The 20,064-nt window shown below is 39.2% G+C and overlaps 1 long non-coding RNA gene across 1 annotated transcript in view; it reads right to left on the bottom strand.

Moving 5' to 3' along the window:
- Window positions 1–19,555, bottom strand: part of LINC01239 (long intergenic non-protein coding RNA 1239) — a 178,014-nt gene extending 158,459 nt beyond the window's left edge. The window contains exon 1 of the long non-coding RNA NR_038977.1: window positions 19,459–19,555. This is a non-coding gene — a long non-coding RNA (long intergenic non-protein coding RNA 1239). The remainder of the gene's footprint in view (window positions 1–19,458) is intronic.
- Window positions 19,556–20,064: the final 509 nt, after the last annotated feature.

The following is a 20,064-nucleotide window of genomic DNA, read 5'->3' as shown; positions in this document are numbered from 1 at the left end:
ACACATAGACCACTGGAACAGAATGCAAAGCCCAGAAATAAACCCACACATATACAGTCAACTGATTTTTGACAACAATTCCAAGATACACAATGGGAACAGAATAGTCTGTTCTACAAATGGTGTTGGGAAAACCAGATATCCACATGCAGAAGAATGAAATTGGACCTTTGTCTCACAACATATACAAAAAATGAAGTCAAAATGGGTTTAAGACTTAAATGTAAGACCCAAAACTATAAAATTATTAGAAGAAAACATAGGACAAAACCTCCATGACATTGATCTGGGCAATAATTCTTACATATAACTCCAAAAGCACAAACAACAACAGGAAAAATAGATAAATGGGATTACAATGAACAAATGCTTTTGCACAGCCAAGAAAAAAAATCAACAGTGAAGAGACAATCCACAGAGCATGAGAAAACATTTCCAAACTATCAATCTGATAATGTATTAACATATAAAATATATAAGAAATTTAAACAACTCAATAGCAAGAAAACAAGACAATTTAAAAATGGATGAATAGGCATTTGTCAAAAAGAGACATATAAATGGCCAACATGTATATGAATAATTGTTCAACATCACTAAGTATCTGGGAATGGCAAATTAAAACCACAATGAAGCCGGGCATGGTGGCTCATGTCTGTAATCCCAGCACTTTGGGAGGCTGAGGCAGGCAGATCACGAGGTCAGGACTTTTGAGACCAGCCTGGCCAAGATGGTGGAACCCCATCTCTACTAAAAATACAAAAATTAGCTGGGTGCGGTGGCATGCACCTGTAATCCCAGCTACTCAGGAAGCTGAGGTAGGAGAATTGCTTGAACCTGGGAGGCCGAAGTTGAAATAAGCCAAGATTGTACAACTGCACTCCAGCCTGGGTGACAGAGCAAGACTCCATCTCAAAAATAAATAAATAAATAAAAATTAAAAATAAAAATAAATAAAACCACAATTAGCTATCACCTCACACCTATTAAAATGGCTATTAACAATAAGACAAAAGAAAACAAGTGTTGGGAGGATGTGAAGAAAAGGGCTACTTTGCACACTGTAAGTGGGAATATAAATTCATACAGCCATAAGGCAAACAATATAAAGGTTCAACAAAAATTTAAAAAGCAGAACTACCATATGATCCAGCATTCAGCGTTACTGGGTATACATCCAAAAGAAAGGAAATCAGTATGTCCAGAAGAGAACATAGCCCTGACAGTGCCTTGATTTTAGCTCTGGGAGACCCATGCCAAATTTCTGAACTACAGACGATGAAATAATAAATGCATGCTGTTTTAAGATAATGAATTTACGGTAATTTGTTATGGCAATAATAGGAAATCAATGCAACACCTCTGAGAATTTTTTTATACATAATCTCCAGTGTAGCATCTGTATCTGCACCTTCTCCGGTCTAATGCATGAATATTCCATGTGGGTAAGATTGGCTTAATCACTTTAGCATCTTTCAACCTAAATATGTGGTATATTTGTTTGTTTGTTTGAGCCTTTTGCTTTTTAGTCTGTAGTTAACATTTTAGCTTGTGAATCTAATTTTCATACTTTTGCTATCATACTTTGGTGTTTACATATCAATTCCCACTGTGAACTTTGAAATGGCCAAGTCTATGTTTCATTCAGCTAGTGCATGGCATATGAAAGAAACTTCAAATATATGTGGAAACTGTCAGGCCTCTAAGCCCAAGCTAAGCCATCATAAACCCTGTGACCTGCACATACACATCCAGATGGCCGGTTCCTGCCTTAACTGATGACATTCCACCACAAAAGAAGTGAAAATGGCCTGTTCCTGCCTTAACTAATGACACTATCTTGTGAAATTCTTTCTCCTGGCTCTTCCTGGCTCAAAAGCTCCCCTAATGAGCACCTTGCGACCCCTACTCCTCCAACCAGAGAACAACCCCCCTTTTTCCTTTACCTACCCAAATCCTATAAAACGGCCCCACTCCTATCTCCCTTTGCTGACTCCCTTTTCAGACTCCCTTTTCACCTGCACCCAGGTGAAATAAACAGCCTTGTTGCTCACACAAAGCCTGTTTGGTGGTCTCTTGACATGGACGCGCATGAAATTTGGTGCTGTGACTCAGATGGGGGGACCTCCCTTGGGAGATCAATCCCTTGTCCTCCTGCTCTTTGCTCCATGAGAAAGATCCACCTATGTCCTCAGGTCCTCAGACCGACCAGCCCAAGTAACATCTCACCAATTTCAAATCTGGTAAGTAGCCTCTTTTTACTCTTTTCTCCAACCTCCCTCACTATCCCTCAACCTTTTTCTCCTTTCAATCTTGGCACCACACTTCAGTCTCTCCCTTCTCTTAATTTCAATTCCTTTCATTTTCTGGTAGAGGCAAAGGAGACATGTTTTATCAATGGACCCAAAACTCCGGCGCCGGTCACGGACTAGGGAAGGCAGCCTTCCCTTGGTGTTTAATCACTGCAGGGACACCTCTCTGATTATTCACCCAGGTTTCAGAGGTGTCAGACCACACAGGGACACCTGCCTTGGTCCTTCACCCTTAGCGGCAAGTCCCGCTTTTCTGGGGGAGAGGCAGGAACCCCGACCTCTTATCTCTGCACCCTGATCCCTTATTTCCATACCGTGACCTCTTATCTCCATGCCCTGACCCCTTCTCTGCTTTTTTGGAGGGCAAGAACTCCCCACCCCTTCTCCGTGTCTCTACTCTTTTTTCTCTGGGCTTGCCTCCTTCACTATGGGCAACCTTCCACCTTCCATTCCTCCCTCTTCTCCCTTAGCCTGTGTTCTTAAGAACTTAAAACCTCTTCAGCTCTCACCTGACCTAAACTCTAAGCATCTTATTTTCTTCTGCAATGCCACTTGACCCCAATACAAACTCGACAGTAGTTCCAAATAGCCAGAAAACGGCACTTTCAATTTTTCCATCCTACCAGATCTAAATAATTCTTGTCGTGAAATGGGCAAATGGTCTGAGGTGCCTGACATCCAGGTGTTCTTTTACACATCTGTCTCTCCCTAGTCTCTGTTCCCAATGCACCTCATCCCAAATCTTCCTTCTTTCCCTCCCACCTGTCCCCTCAGTCCCAACCCCAAGCATCACTGAGTCTTTCTAATCTTCCTTTTCTACAGACCCATCTAACCTCTCCCCTCCTCGCCAGGCTGAGCTAGGTCCCAATTCTTCCTCAGCCTCCACTCCTCCACCCTATAATCCTTTTATCACCTGCCCTCCTCACACCCGGTCTGGCTTACTGTTTCGTTCCATGACTAGCCCTCCCCCACCTGTCCAGCAATATCCTCTTAAAAAGGTGGATGGAGCTAAAGGCCTAGTCAAGGTTAATGCTCCTTTTTCTTTATCCCAAATCAGATAGCGTTTAGGCTCTTTTTCATCAAATATAAAAACCTAGCCCAGTTCATGGCTCGTTTGGCAGCAACACTGAGATGTTTTACAGCCCTAGACTCTAAAAGGTCAAAAAACCGTCTTATTCTCAATATATATTTTATTACCCAATCTGCTCCCGACATTAAATAAAACTCCAAAAATTAAATTCCGGCCCTCAAATCCCACAATAGGACTTAATTAACCTCACCTTCAAGGTGTACAATTCCTTGCCTCCGCTGTGAGACAAACCCCAGCCACATCTCCAGCACACAAGAACTTCCAAATGCCTCAATCACAGTGGCCAAGTGTTCCTCCAGGCCCGCCTCCCCCAGGAGCTTGCTACAAGTGCCAGAAATCTGGCCACCAGGCCAAGGAATGCCTGCAGCCTGGGATTCCTCCTAAGCTGTGTCCCAACTGTGCAGGACCCCACTGAAAATCAGACTGTTCAATTTACCTGGCAGCCACTCCCAGAGCCCCTGAACTCTGGCCCAAGGCTCTCTGACTACTTCCCAGATCTTCTCGGCTTAGCAGCTGAAGACTGATGCTGCCTGATCGCCTCAGAAGCCCCTAGACGACCATCACAGATGCCGAGCTTCGGGTAACTCTCACAGTGGAGGGTAAGTCCGTCCCCTTCTTAATCAATACGGAGGCTACCCACTCCACATTACCTTCTTTTCAAGGGCCCGTTTCCCTTGCCTCCATAACTGTTGTGGGTATTGACAGCCAGGCTTCTAAACCTCTTAAAACTCCCCAACTCTGGTGCCAACTTAGAAGACACTCTTTTTGCACTCTTTTTTAATTATCCCCACCTGCCCAGTTCCCTTATTAGGCCGAGACACTTTAACTAAATTATCTGCTTCCCTGACTACTCCTGGGCTACAGCCACACCTCATTGCCACCTTTTCCCCCAGTTCAAAGCCTCCTTCACATCCTCCCCTTGTATCTCCCCACCTTAACCCACAAGTATAAGACACCTCTACTCCCTCCTTAGTGACTCATCATGCACCCCTTACCATCCCATTAAAACCTAATCACTCTTACCCTGCTCAATGCCAATATCCCATCCCACAGCACACTTTAAAAGGATTAGAGCCTGTTATCACTCGCCTGTTACAGCATGGCCTTTTAAAGCCTATAAACTCCCCTTACAATTTCCCCATTTTACCTGTCCTAAAACCAGACAAGACCTACAGGTTAGTTCAGGATCTGCGCCTTATCAACCAAATTGTTTTGCCTATCCACCCTGTGGTGCCAAACCCATATACTCTCCTATCCTCAATACCTCCCTCTACAACCCATTATTCTGTTCTGGATCTCAAACATGCTTTCTTTACTATTCCTTTGCACTCTTCATCCCAGCCTCTCTTCGCTTTCACTTGGACTGACCCTGACACCCATTAGGCTCAGCAAATTACCTGAGCTGTACTGCCGCAAGGCTTCACAGACAGCCCCCTTTACTTCAGTAAAGCCCAAGTTTCATCCTCATCTGTTACCTATCTCAGCATAATTCTCATAAAAACACACGTGCTCTCCCTGCTGATCGTGTCCAGCTAATCTCCCAAACCTCAATCCCTTACAAAACAACAACTCTTTTCTTTCCTAGGCACGGTTAGTGCAGTCAGAATTCTTACACAAGAGCTGGGACCGCACCCTGTAGCCTTTCTGTCCAAACAACTTGACCTTACTGTTTTAGGCTGGCCATCTTGTCTCCGTGCAGCAGCTCCTGCTGCCCTAGTACTTTTAGAGGCCCTTAAAATCACAAACTATGCTCAACTCACTCTCTACAGCTCTCATAATTTCCAAAATCTATTTTCTTCCTCACACCTGACGCATATACTGTCTGCTCCCCGGCTCCTTCAGCTGTACTCACTCTTTGTTGAGTCTCCCACAATTACAATTGTTCCTGGCCCGGACTTCAATCCGGCCTCCCACATTATTCCAGATACCACACCTGACCCTCATGACTGCATCTCTCTGATCCACCTGACGTTCACCCCATTTCCTTCTTCCCTGTTTCTCACGCAGATCACACTTGGTTTATTGATGGCAGTTCCACCAGGCCTAATCGCCACACACCAGCAAAGGCAGGCTATGCTATAGTACAAGCCACTAGCCCGCCTCTTAGAACCTCTCATTTCCTTTCCATCGTGGAAATATATCCTCAAGGAAATAACTTCTCAGTGTTCCATCTGCTATTCTACCACTCCTCAGGGATTATTCAGGCCCCCTCCCTTCCCTACACATCAAGCTCAGGGATTTGTCCCCACCAAGGACTGGCAAATTTGCTATTCTACTACTTCTCAGGGATTATTCAGGCCCCTCCCTTCCCTACACATCAAGCTCAGGGATTTGCCCCCGCCCAGGACTGGCAAATTAGCTTTACTCAACATGCCCTGAGTTAGGAAACTAAAATACCTCTTGGTCTAGGTAGACACTTTCACTGGATAGGTAGAGGACTTTCCCACAGTGTCTAAGAAGGCCACCATGGTCATTTCTTCCCTTCTGTCAGACATAATTCCTCGGTTTGGCCTTCCCACCTCTATACAGTCCGATAGCAGACTGGCCTTTATTAGTCAAATCAGCCAAGCATTTTTTCAGGCTCTTAGTATTCAGTGAAACCTTTATATCCCTTACAGTCCTCAGTCTTCAGGAAAGAACAGAATAATGGTCTTTTAAAAACACACCTCACCAAGCTTAGCCACCAACTTAAAAAGGACTGGACAATACTTTTACCACTTTCCCTTCTCAGAATTCAGGCCTGTCCTCAGAATGCTAAAAGGTACAGCCCATTTGAGCTCCTGTATAGATGCTCCTTTTTATTAGGCCCCAGTCTCATTCCAGACACTAGACCAACTTGGACTGTGCCCCAGAAAACTTGCCATCTCTACTATCTTCTGTCTAGTCATACTCATATTCACCGTTCTCAACTACTCATACCTGCCCTGCTCTTGTTTACACTGCCAGTTTACACTGTTTCTCCAAGCCATCACAGCTGATATCTCTTGGTGCTATCCCCAAATCGCCACTCTTAACTCTTGAAGTAAATAAATAATCTTTGCTGGCAAGGCTATACTGAACCTTCTTAGGCACTCTTTACTTAAATGTCCTAGGTCCTCCCAATTCTTAGTCCTTTAATACCTGTTTTTCTCCTTCTCTTATCCCATTTAGTTTTTCAATTCATATAAAACTGTATCCAGGCCATCACCAATAATTCTAAATGACAAATGTTTCTTCTAACAACCCCATAATACCACCCCTTACCACAAAATCTTCCTTCAGTTTAATCTCTCCCACTCTATGTTCCCACGCCACCCCTAATCCCACTGGAAGCAGCCCTGAGAAACATCGCCCATTAACTCTCCATACCACCCCCAAAATTTTCACCATCCCAACACTTTACCACTATTTCATTTTATTTTTCTTATTAATATAAGAAGACAGGAATGTCAGGCCTCTGAGCCCAAGCTAAGCCATCATATCCCCTGTGACCTGCACATACACATCCAGATGGCCAGTTCCTGCCTTAACTGATGACATTCCACCACAAAAGAAGTGAAAATGGCCTGTTCCTGCCTTAACTGATGACATTATCTTGTGAAATTCCTTCTCCTGGCTCATCCTGGCTCAAAAGCTCCCCTACTGAGAACCTTGTGACCCCCCACTCCTCCAACCAGAGAACAACCCCCCTTTTTCCTTTACCTATCCAAATCCTATAAAACGGCCCCACCCCATCTCCCTTCCCTGACTCTATTTTCAGACTCAGCCCACCTGCACCCAGGTGAAATAAACAGCCTGTTGCTCACACAAAGCCTGTTTGGTGGTCTCTTCACATGGAAGCGCATGAAAGAAATGGAAGGGAAGGAAAGGGAAGGGGAGGGGAGGGGAGGGGAGGAGAGGGGGGAACGGAGGAAGGGAGGAATGGAGGAAGGGAAGGAGGGAAGGAGGGAGGGAAGGAAAGAAGGAAGGGAGGGAGTGATGGAGGGAGGGAAGACAGGATATGAAGCTAAGACATGAGAAACATCATGATAGTAAATATATAACAAAGTTCAAGTTTACAGCTTCACACAAAGAACAACGCCTGCCTAGTCAAAAGTAGGCTTTTAAAAAATATTTGCTGAAAAATGGTCCACATTTGTTTAAGTAGGTTTTGTTGTTGTTGTTGTTGTTGTTGTTGTTAAATAAAAGCATATCAAGTTTTCTTGAGTCTATTTGACCAGCACATTTAGGAGTACTGTATATTTTATCATTGAGCCTTTAACTTTTTACAAGTAAATAATGGATTTTGGTCAAAGATTCTAAAGGAACACGTACAGTCAGGAAATAAGATAACATTATGAAATTTGCAAACATTTTAGCTCTTGTAAAGACAGATTGCACTTTGCTCCTATTTCAAAACAGACTTGCAATTTTATGTTGAAAGTTGGAAAAATCACCAAGGGATTGACAATTTTACCATGAAAATTCCAATATAGTATGAATCATATGATCCTCCAAAATTGCACAAGAAATTGTTTCCTTATCCCTTTAGAAGTTTTAGTAACATTGGCAATGACTGTGCCAAACCATTTTTAAATGCAGTGCCTGAACTCCTGCCTCTTAACTCTATGAAAGATACTGATAAAATACTTCAGGTAATTTAGTTCATAGGAGATTATTGTACCAAATTTTTCTGCTGCTTGAATTTTTCCTGTTAGACTCACCTCTCCTTAGGTGAGTTGTTGTTGTTGTTTTATTGAGCATGCAAAACTGATATGCTCCTTTAAAGGGCTGACATTTTTTACCAATTATCTTACAACCAAGTCTGTCCTCATCTGGCTTTTGCTAAAACAGAGCTGTTTATCTACAAGCTGCAACTATATTTTCCTTTCCTAGTGATTAAAACTTTGACAGCCATATGCTCATTCTTGTGTAAGTCATATCCTTTTGGGTTTTAGCCTTAGTCTTCACTGCTATTGGCAAACAAAAGGAAATGCTTCTAATATGTAGGGCTCCCCTCTAGTGAAACCTATAAACACAAATGGGACACTCACTTCTAAAGGTGGATTTAGTTTTAAATTACCTTTCCAAAGTAGGTAAATCTCCAGGCTCCCTCTCTGATTGATCTGCCAAGCCAGCCACTTTGTTAGCATTAGCATGGCTTGAATTTGAGAACTACAGATGGTGAAGGCATATACACTTCGTGGAGGAAAATCAGGTTTCAATGAAGGTTCCTAACCAGCATACACTATTAAATGAATTCTTCATTTGCTTTTTGATAATAGGTACTACATGCAACTTAAATGATTTACTGTAGGAAATCTAGTCCTAGTTATAGTTGCCAATCCTGGCCTGTTCAGCAGTTATGAACACTAAGACAGAAAAACTATTTCTTTCTAAGTGGGTCAGAGATCTAAATACTACTAATGAGTTGAACATACGGTATTTTCTATTAATAATTTACTTTATCACTGCAGTTCCTTTAGTCATTTTACATATCCGTTCTAGTTTCCATTTTACCACTATATTTATTAATATAATACAAGAACAATTATGTCCATTTTCTTTTGTTTATACGTCATGTTTTCCTGATCTCACTGTCTCTCATTCAAGCAGAAATGTGCTATTGATCCTGCAATCTTTAAATACTGGTCTTTCACACAAAATGAAAAAGAAATTTCTCCTTTTTTTTTCATTTTACTGTATCACTTTATTCTCTAAACTGGCCCCTCTTAGCATCTATGATCTTTAAAATTAGCACAAGATTTGTTTTCATTTATTACAATGGAACTATGAAAATCAATGGAGTCTGGTTAGTTGAGATTATTTATATTTCCTCATAAAACCATTATCCTTTAATGCGCATATCTGTTTTCTCAAAGTTTAAAGCAGGTCACACTGGGATCTGGATATCTGCCATTATGGACATACTAGAGCATCACCAGTTATTTGAGAAAGTCAGTGATCTTACTGGATGAAGAAAACATTCTTTATTTAGTTGTTATTACTTTTAACAAAATTAAATCCCTATTAAAGAGAGAAATTCATTGTAAGAAAAATTTATTTTTTCACCAAGTTGATGTTCACTATTAGCTACAAATCATGCTTCCCACAGTGGATTGCATTCGGGAGAGAGGGAGGCAGAGAGGTCTGTATGTATGCTGCACAATTGTTCAAAGAACTAAACACTTAAAAATTATTGTACCCCAGATGCACAATCCCACAAACTCATGGGATAAATAAATACCTAAACCATTTAGTAAGCCTACACAACAGCCATGTATTTCTTAAAATTAAATAAAGCACCTTTTAAGTTTCCAGAGTAAAACACACTCATTTTTGGAACTCTAAAATTTATATATAATAGTGTATCATTTAATCATCACAAAACCCTAAGAGTTGGGTACTATCATATTCCCGTTTTATTTATGGGTACACTAAAGTCCAAAGAACGAAAAATTAGCCCTAAGTACAAAAGCCATAACTGGTAGCGTCATTGAGCCTGAATTGTTATCACATTGTTTATCATGTTGGTTAAGAGAGCAAACCAAAGATATTTTGTCAGTCTAAATTTCCCTTTTAACTTGGATTGTTATATTATCCATAGTGCCTTATATCTCCCCACTTAATCACTCTCTTCTCCATCCCCTTTCTTTAAACTCCAAGTTTGTAGATGACAAACTAGACGAATAACCTTTTCTCAATGCTGCTTCTTCCTAAGGTATTGATGATAAATCCCAATCACAGCAGTTGCCTGGTGGAGGACTGCAAAGAGAAATAATAGTCCTGAGCTCTCTTTCCTGAAATTAAGCCCGTTTTCTTTTTCTAAATTAACTTGGACATACAGAGAGGAAGGCATGGCCTTGGGCATTCCATAGTACATATTACCAGACACAGTAAGTATACCATCATGGTGAAATGAGCACCTAGGGAAGATAACTAGATGTATAAAGATTGCAAGGACTGTTAAAGAAAGACAAACTCAATAAACTGTCTGAACACTGGAATGGATGGATCAATAATGTAAAATAACTGTAATACTTTAGAAGATAAGGAAATATATTAGTAACATAAGAACAAGAAATCTGAAAAGTAAACTGGTGGAAATGATAAACATAATAACTGATCAAAGAAGATGATACACTTAAGAATAAATATGTGAATTAGAAGATGACATTAAAAATTCCAGAAGGCAGAAGAAAAATATAAAAAGAGGGAAGCTATAAAATCAAAGCTAAAATATATGAAAAACAGAAGTAGAAATGATATTCTGATGTCAGAAGTTTTGCTATAAAAAGACTCACATTGAAAACATTCTTGCTAGAAAAGCTCAAGTAAGATAAAAGAATGATGTCATCAGGATTCTTAGTATCCCAAACATAACAATAATCATGAACAGTGAAATCAAGGAATGTGGAATAGGTGGCCATGCTATGTGCCTCCCTAACACCTCATACAAAGCTCTGTCAAGTGACTTACCATTCTGTTTTGTTATAATCTGCTCATGTACATGTTTCCTCTGATAGTAATACTGCTTAGAAAAACAAGTGTGAAATTATTTTACTTTTGTATTCTAAATTTTCATAATCTATCACAAGTCCTGGCATACAATGGCCATTCTCTATATTCAGGCGAAATGGAACTGAGCTGATTTATACCTACCTCTTTCAATTCTATCATTCATTTACTTGATCTTTTGTGGTCTTCTGGTTTTCAGACCTCAGAACTTAGTTGACTTCAGATAGCTGTTTTACAATCTAGCTAGCTAGCTGTTTAACTGTCCTGCAATTGGTCCAGTGCTGCCCCATTCTCTGACCAGTCTGCCTGGTCTTCTGACCCGTTATATTGCCTGGTGGAGACAAATAGAAACATGGGATAGACAATTCTATTCTCCGTCCTGTTCTTAAGTGCCTATGCTGGCACTGATATTTAGAAAAGTGTTAAGTTTTAGGTGGGATAGAGAGAAGAATGAAAGGAATAATAGAATGAGAAACACTACCATACACACTGTACAAAGTATTGAGGGAAACGTGCTGTCAGACAGCCTTAGAAATAAAGCAGTCCCTTCCTTATGTAGTCTTGTCACCAAAATAGAATACACGTGCACACCTGAAGAAACTTTTTTGAGAGACAAATTAGATGAAAGTATAGCCTATTCTCTGATTTTCTTGCCTTGCCTATTTAAATGTTTAGTAGTTTCCCTTGCTGTTGATTAGGAGATAGATGTAGAATTATCTCTGCAGTTAACTTTGTGTTTGAAGTTCTCACATTACTACCATCTTTCTGAGCCAATTAAGCATACTTTTATCATGCCTCCTGATGAGGTTATTCAGTATGTGCTAAATGGTTTAATTAAAATCTGTCCTGTTTCCCTAATGCCCATTTGGAGGAATACCTTTCTCAAAATAGCAATTAAATATATAATAATCCATATAATCCATTACTTGGGAAGAAAAAAGAATCACTGAGTGTCTCTGAAAGATAAACAAGTAGGATTTCAATGATCTCATTTAAAATCTTACTTTACAAATATATAATGGCATTTCCTTCTTTATTTCTAATTGTATTAGTCAAACTTATCACACGGTCTTGGAAATTTTGATATCTCATAATGGAAATTATCTTGTGACTATTATTAGAGTGACAGGGAAATACATAGTTACAAATACAGTGATGTTGCCAATAGGAAGGATCTATGGTATGGTAGGGAGAGTGTAGGCTTTACAGCTGAGTCCTCACTAAGTCTACTATTACTTAGGCACTCTGCCAACCTCTTTATAAATGGTCTTGCAAATTGTTATGAAGTTTAGTATTATTCCCATTTTATCAATGATGGCAGTGAGTCCTTGAGAGGTTTCGTAATTTCCCCCAAATCACTGTGCTATTAAGTAGTGGGACAGAATTTGAACCCAGGCTTGCCTGACTCAAAATCTGTATGTTCCATAAATGTTCCCTTCCTTCCTTTGTGGCAGAAACTAATACAGAATGCAATACCTAATATGAATTCACAAACCAAGTTGATCTATTACATGTCACATATTCCAATATTTGTCAAAACTTTACCTTACTTCTTTTTTCTAAAATCTGAATTTAAATCTCTGCTCTTCCACTAACTAGTGATATGACCTTATGCTAGTAATACCCCTACTTTGGACCTCAGGTATGGTGGGATTTTCCTAACTTTACAGTGTAAGATGCCTTCTTTAGGAGACAATACAGCAGTCAGAACATGCCTATGGTTGCTTATAGAAATCAACACTATGTCTGAGGCCTAGAGCCTATATAGAAGAGGAAGTTGAAGTCAGTAAGCTAGACAATGGGCCCCAACCTAAGGGATAAAAGACATGAGCTATTATGATTGAGGTAAATTGCTGAGATATTCAATCCTTACATTGTTGTGCACTTAGCCAAATTCTTAGCTTTCATTCCTTAAACAGGCCCTGACACAAGGTGGTTTCACATACTTTACAGAGTTCAATACATCCCAGCTTCAGTTGGCCCTCTCTAATCATGCCTAATGTAGACTGGCAGAACAGCACTCATGAATCCTAAATAGCTAAACATTTCTGCTAGATCCATTATGTAGGGAACAGAAGACTTAATTCTCCAGTCCGGACTCTCATGCATTTTCTGCCAACAATAAATTCACTCTAAATGCAAAGAAAACATTAAATTTTAAACCTGTGAATATCTTTAAATGGTGAAGATACACACCAGAATTGAGTTGTCTTTGTACTTACTAAGTCTATTCAGTGATTGAAAATCATTTCAAAATGGTGTTCTAAATTCAATGACTCATTTACAATTGTTCTGGGAATCTCTACTTTTGGCTATTTCTTCTGTGGCTAATAAAGCAATTTTTGAATATAGTAGCCTAAAATTCTCTCCACATAGAAAGAAGATGCTTAGATTTGCTGGTTCAAATTATGCTGGACTTCTAGAAATGCATTTTTAACAGGCTTGGTTTACAAAGGGAATTGCTGTTAATCCCAGAGCACATTTGTTTTCCCAAAATAGCATCATTTAAATCAAGAATCAGGAGCATAATGAAAAACAGAGAGAAGTGGGATAGAAGATGCTGCTTAGGAATATGTCTTGAACAACATATGTTTGCTTATATAGGATATGTCTGATGTGGATTTAGAATCACTAAGGCAGAGATTGAATTTACAAAAGCCAGGGCATAAGGAAGGAAACATAACCAGGAATCTACTTGAAAAGGTTATTGGAACAAGTTCACTATATGTAACAGAAAAATGGAAAGGAAGACAGTATTTGAAGTGGCAGATAGGATTCAACCAGGCTCACATAGAATTCTCTCAGAAAACTAAATGAAAGGAACCTCTCAATGACAAAAACAGCTCCCTTCACTCAACTCTGCTTCTATGGGCATATCAAGGCAATAGAATCTCTCACACCAAACTCCCACTTGCTTTTCATCTTTGTTTTAGTTTTCTGACATTTTCAACAGTAGCCCATGTGCTCCAGCCCTGTACTATGGTCTGCTTCAGGGTAACACAGCCATGTTGGAGCATGAGTAGTAATTAGAATTGTTCAATTGTTCACTCTTTTTTTTTTTTTTTTTTTTTTTTTGAGATGGTGTCTCGCTCTGTCGCCAGGCTGGAGTGCAGTGGTGTGATCTCAGCTCACTGCAACCTCCGCCTCCTGGGTTCAAACGATTATCTTGCCTTAGCCTCCAGAGTAGCTGGGACTATAGGCACCCACCACCACGCATGGCTAATTTTTTTTTTTTTTTTTTTTTTTTTTTTTTAGTAGAGATGGAGTTTCACCATGTTGGCCAGGATGGTCTTGATCACTTGACCTTGTGATCCGTCCACCTCAGCCTCCCAAAGTGCTGGGGTTACAGAGGTGAGCCACCACGCCCAGCCTGTTCACTCTTTTTTAAAGCACTAACAAGTCTCCTTAAAAGTTACTGAAAACGCTTTCTTTATTCCCAACCACCAGTCTTTCTGAACAACTGTATTGCTGGGTGCAATTAGAAATCAGATAATCATCCTGAAAAAGGATTGCACTTATTCCATATTTTAACATTTCTCCCCCATTCTAAATTGTTAATTATGAATTTCAAGCATTAAAAGAAAAAGCCTTGCAGCCTGTACAGAAACTCTTAAAGAGATTGTTTTCAGAAAAGTGCCAAAAGTACCTCATCTTCTCCCATAAAAGCCAGAGAAGATGATGACAGTCCAGCTGCTTGGTAAGGATTGCTCACCCTTTATGGGCTCCCAGAAGCTTCTATGCAACATAAAGAAATTCATATTTTTATTGCCTCATATTCTCTCAGCATGAAGAAGAATTTACATTTCTTAATTGGATTTCTTTCTCTCAGCACAAGAAATTGCAACAATCTCACTAGACTCCATTGCTTAACAGCCCCAAGAAGCAGTTGTATAACTTATTTATAAGGCAGGGTGTAGGGCAAAGTTTTTCAGTAAAGTTCAAGGACTACTTACATCAAGATTCCTTAAAATGCATTGTAAAAATCCAGAGTCTTAGCCTATGCTCCAGAGCTACTGAAGTAGACTCTCTAAATTTGAGACTCTGAAATCTGTGTTTAGAAAAGCTCTATATGATCTTTATTTAGTCATAAATTTGATAATTACCAATTTAACAGAAATGACAGATTTTGGAACACATCTGGGAAAGTCTCTATTTAACTGTTTCCCCTACCTCCACGCCCCACTGGGGCTGATCGGTATGAAATGGTAACGTACACCTGTGCTATTTAAGTTGTAAGGGTACTACTATTTGAAAGGACACAGAATTTATGTAGTTAAAAGAATCCTCAACTTTTTAATCCATGAAGGAAACTCGGAGAGTCTTCTAAGCTTATTTTTCTATGTTACAGACAGAGTATTTTCACTACAACTTAAAATTCTGGAGGCAAACTCTTATGCCTTAAAATATACTCTAAAATGAAACCTGCCCCATTTCAAAGTGCCTGTGAAGATGGGCATTGTTGTTCAGGGTCTATAATCATGTATCTGTGTCATGGTTCTGGGATGTAGTAATAGAGCCAGAGCTTAGTTGTTGATTTGGAAGTTCAGGTTAGCACTTTTGTTTATGAAAGCACAACTATGGGAGATTGCGAAAAGCATGGTGGGCCAATCTTACTGTAATTCTTGCTCTATAAGCTGTTTAGGTTCTTGTATTTGTACGAAATAATTGTATAGTTATTAAAAGTATTAAATTGCTAAGCTGGAAACTCCTAGCTCCTCCCCGTTGATAACTACCTCATCTACTACAGAGAACTGAGCTGATTGAGAAGCAAAAAAAAAAAAAGAAAAGAAAAAAAAAAAAGAAAAGAAAATGAGAAAATGTGTGTGTCTCTCAGTTAATTCTAATCCTAAGTGTAGAGTATATAGTCTCCATTTGCCGTATGAAAAAACAGAGAGGTTTTAGAAAGGAAATACTTTTTCCATAGTTATATGTGACCAAGATAAAATTTGAGCTAAATTCTAAACTGACTAGCTCTAAAGGCTGTGCTTTCTCCAAAGGAACAGAAGAAAAACAAATGCCAGAAAAGAAGGGAAAGACGCAGAGGAGCAGATATAAGAGAGGGAACAAACAACCAAATAAGTTTCCATGGTAGGCTTTATTGAAATTAGGAAATTTCTAAGAGAAATTATTGTGGTGACCCCCAAAGCACAGAATAGGGGCTACAGTACATGAGGCAATGTAGTTTGTCTGTAAAATGTGTTGTGATCATGTCTGTAAGAATCTGCTATTTCCTAAGAAAGAGTACAGCTCTGGTATTTCATTCTGGCATTAACCCCACAGAGCTACAGTGACTTATCAGCATGCCTTTATCCATTAGTATAACAGAGAGAACAAAAATATCCGCTAGCCATTCATTTCTGCAAACAGAGCTCAAGTGTTTTGCAACAAAGTTATTTTCCTATGCTTATGCCAACTAGAGACGTTTTGACTCCTATCACAACACTGTCACTAAATCTTTTCAGTTAACCATTTCTTCTTTCTCTTGGATAAAAATAAGTTACAGTGCCTAAAAAGTAGAATTATCCTTTGAAATGTAAGTCTCCAAATAGTTTGAATCTTTATACATAGAAATTTTCATTATGAAATGTAAAGGATTCTGAAATTAGCCATCAGAGCCTATGATTGTTTTCCCCATTTTAAAGTTCAGAAATTCATGTGACTGTTCCATATTTTATTAAAATTTTAGCTGCTTAAATCTTTTTTCTTTAGGTTTTGAGAGGCAGGTGCAATGGAGCGGGCGTGCAGGAGGTTGTATAATAATTGCAACCAAAAGAAAAAAGATGCGTGAGTTAGACTCATTGGTAGCTGAAAAACATTAACAGCCAGAAAGTTTCCTTCTCAAGCTTTAAATAAATATTTTATGAAATGTCAATAAAATTTTTCTAAAGATTAGATCTTGCCTCCTAAGAACCTTCTTGGTGTCTATGAGTGGAGTATTTATATTGACAACTCTCAAACTATAATGAAATGTATGTCACCAGTAGCAGCCAACTTAGAATTGGGCACTCCAAAAATAACCTGATTTAGTGAAATAACAGTTATGGTCAGGCCCATGGGCAGGGTGAGTATGAAAGCCACTGCTTTGGGACAAAATGATTATATAATGGGCTGTTTCGGAGCTACCTTAAAAGGAAACATATCCTTCTATTGCAATGGGATATTTCTGAGTTCTCTGCACCCCTAAAGCTCTTCTTGTTGCATTATTAGCTATGTGAGGAAATCATAAAGGGGATAAATAAGGGAGTTGGTGGGGGACAGGAATCTATTACCTCATACTCCAAAAACACTAATGGCTCACTTACATTGGTTATATATGAAATTTGAACAACATAACATCTTTTAAAAAGTAGTTCCCCTAGGTGGAGGGAGATGGGTGAACAAATAGGATCAATGTGGAAAACTTTTTGTCTACAGCACTATTGAATTAACACTTTCCCAACATTCTAGACACCTCACATCAAATAGTGGAGTTTCTATCCATTTGACTCATACATTACTAAGTAGCAATAGCTTTCTTAAAATGTCCATTTGTTCGAGTCAGTCTTTTCCTTAGAAATCTAAAAGAATTTTCATATAACTCTCTTAAAATTAGTATTATTTTCTCTCTATCATATACACACACACTCAATATTTTACTATACCCAGCACTTTGGGAGGCCGAGGCGGGCGGATCACGAGGTCAGGAGATCCAGACCATCCTGGCTAACACGGTGAGACCCCGTCTCTACTAACAACAATACAAAAAATTAGCCAGGTGTGGTGGCGGGCGCCTGTAGTCCCAGCTACTCGGGAAGCTGAGGCAGGAGAATGGCGTGAACCTGGGAGGCTGAGCTTGTAGTGAGCCGAGATAGGGCCACTGCACTCCAGCATGGGCGACAGAGCAAGACTCTGTCATAAATAAATAAATAAATAAATAAATAAATAAATAAATAAATAAATTTTACTATAAAAGAAGACATTCCTGTGTGTGTATGCTAACATCAACTGATACTATTATTTGCACTTTGTCCACTTGAAATACTTTCGTATTATCACCAAACTCACTTTCAAATCCCTTTGTAAAGTACTGAAGAGAAAATTTAGAAAAGGGTATGAGAAAGCAATTCACATAAGAAAATAAACAGGTAATATAACGGAAGTAGTATCTATATTTGTGAGTCACAAAAATGAACTAGAAATCACAGTGAGATATCATTATTCACTTTACACAAATGAGAAGATAGAAATAAAAGCATCGGCTGGGCGCGGTGGCTCACGCCTGTAATCCCAGCACTTTGGGAGGCCGAGGCGGGTGGATCACAAGGTCAGGAGATCAAGATCATCCTGGCTAACACAGTGAAGCCCCGTCTCTACTAAAAATACAAAAATTAGCCGGGCGTGGTGGCGGGTGCCTGTAGTCCCAGCTACTCGGGAGGCTGAGGCAGGAGAATGGCGCTAACCCGGGAGGCGGAGCTTGCAGTGAGCCAAGATGGCACCACTGCACTCCAGCCTGGGCTACAGAGTGAGACTCCGTCTCAAAAAAAAAAAAAAAAAAAGAAAAGAAAAGAAAAGAAGTAAAAGCATCAATTTCACCACAAAAAATTAATTTGGAGGATAAAGTATAATATGAGAACCCACTGGCATGATAATAATCCAGGAATTATACAGACTTCCCCCTGTTAAAAGCAATGCTAAGCTAGATCATGTGTACCAATTTACAAAGGTAAAATCTTGCTCTCTGAGGGCAGCTGTCTTCTAAGACAAAAAGGGTGGAACTATTCGGAGCATGTCTAATTGATTTTTTCCAAATTTATTAATCAGAGTGAATCACTCCATCTTCTCTGGTAGATAGTGAATAGAAGAGCAGAGAGAGGCAAGGAGTGTAGCACACGGAAGACCACATTCACCTGGAAAGAAATATCAGGACTGAGGACAAGAATTCCTCTCCACACCTTCTCCCCACCCCATCACCCTGCCAAATTCCAGTACAAAATAGTTTCACTAGCTGGTCTATCATAGCTTTGGAAAATCCAATAGTAGAGATTCAGTTATTTGAATAGAGTTTCTTTTTTAATAACAAATGACCCCAGGAGGCAAAATACCGATAAATCCTATAACCTTTAGTATGTTATCAGAAACGAAAGTAGCCTTGAGAAAAGGAGAGATCAGACTGGAAAAAGGAAAACGGACTCAGAAACTTAGTTATCTCAGCTATGAAAATTAGGTAGTTGAACTCCTTGAAATACAGGGCTCCATCCAATACTATGTACCAATTGTGGGATAACTAGAAGTAAATACAGAGTTAAAACTGTAGTCTCAGTTGTTGTCGGTAATAACAGCAGAGATTGCAACCTAAAGGGAATGTGCAGCACGATCAGATGCACACAATCTATTTTCCACTTCTCTAGTGTGTCTCAGCTTGTTAAGGTTAAATACAGAATTTTTTTTCTATTTTGCTTTATCTGTCAGTATAAGATAATTAAAAAGAAGTGAACTTCCTTCATCCATTTATCTTGGATGGCATGCACACTTTATTCTGTTATCACCAAAAACATAAAACCTAGAGAAAATGCAAATTAAAATTTTTATAAATGTACATACCACATAGTTTTATAGACATCTATGTTCCACTCTTAAGCCAGGGTCAAAGTAGAATTCTCTTTGGTCTCTCTTCCCTTAGAGGAACAGAAAATAAAAGACCGAGAAAACAGACTGTGATGGAGGATTCATTATAAGCCAAAACCTGAATCACCATAATTACACACAGTTCATAAGTGCAAATCGTACCCATCTCTTGGCAGATTAAAAAGCCAAGTGATGAGTAATATTGCTGAGCTAAACATGCCTGTTTCATAAGCCACTCAAATCAACACTCCTGTTATCCCTTGACACACAGGCAAAAATTCTATCTGTAAGCCTAATAAAATCTCATTTGTTTTACCTGAAGGTCCTATGAACCACCTGGTGCCTCTCTTTGCACTTGTTTTTCTCTATTAACTTATGCTTTGTAGAAATTAAGGCTTTAATCTGATAATTCTTTCCACTAGCTTTTAATTATTAGGTTAATGTGTGAATTTGAAGCAAGCAGTCCAATATGAAACTATTAAGAAAAAAGTTGAAAATGCTGAATGATATTAGAAATTCTAGACGGTAAAATTTAGACAATAATTAGTCTTCTGATTTTTCCTAATGACAGTTTGTAGGAAA

This window comes from Homo sapiens, chromosome 9 (genome assembly GCF_000001405.40).
Source record: "Homo sapiens chromosome 9, GRCh38.p14 Primary Assembly".
NCBI lineage: Eukaryota > Metazoa > Chordata > Mammalia > Primates > Hominidae > Homo > Homo sapiens.
The sequence above is the reverse complement of the archived record's forward strand: the minus strand, read 5'-3'. Positions and strand labels throughout refer to the sequence as shown.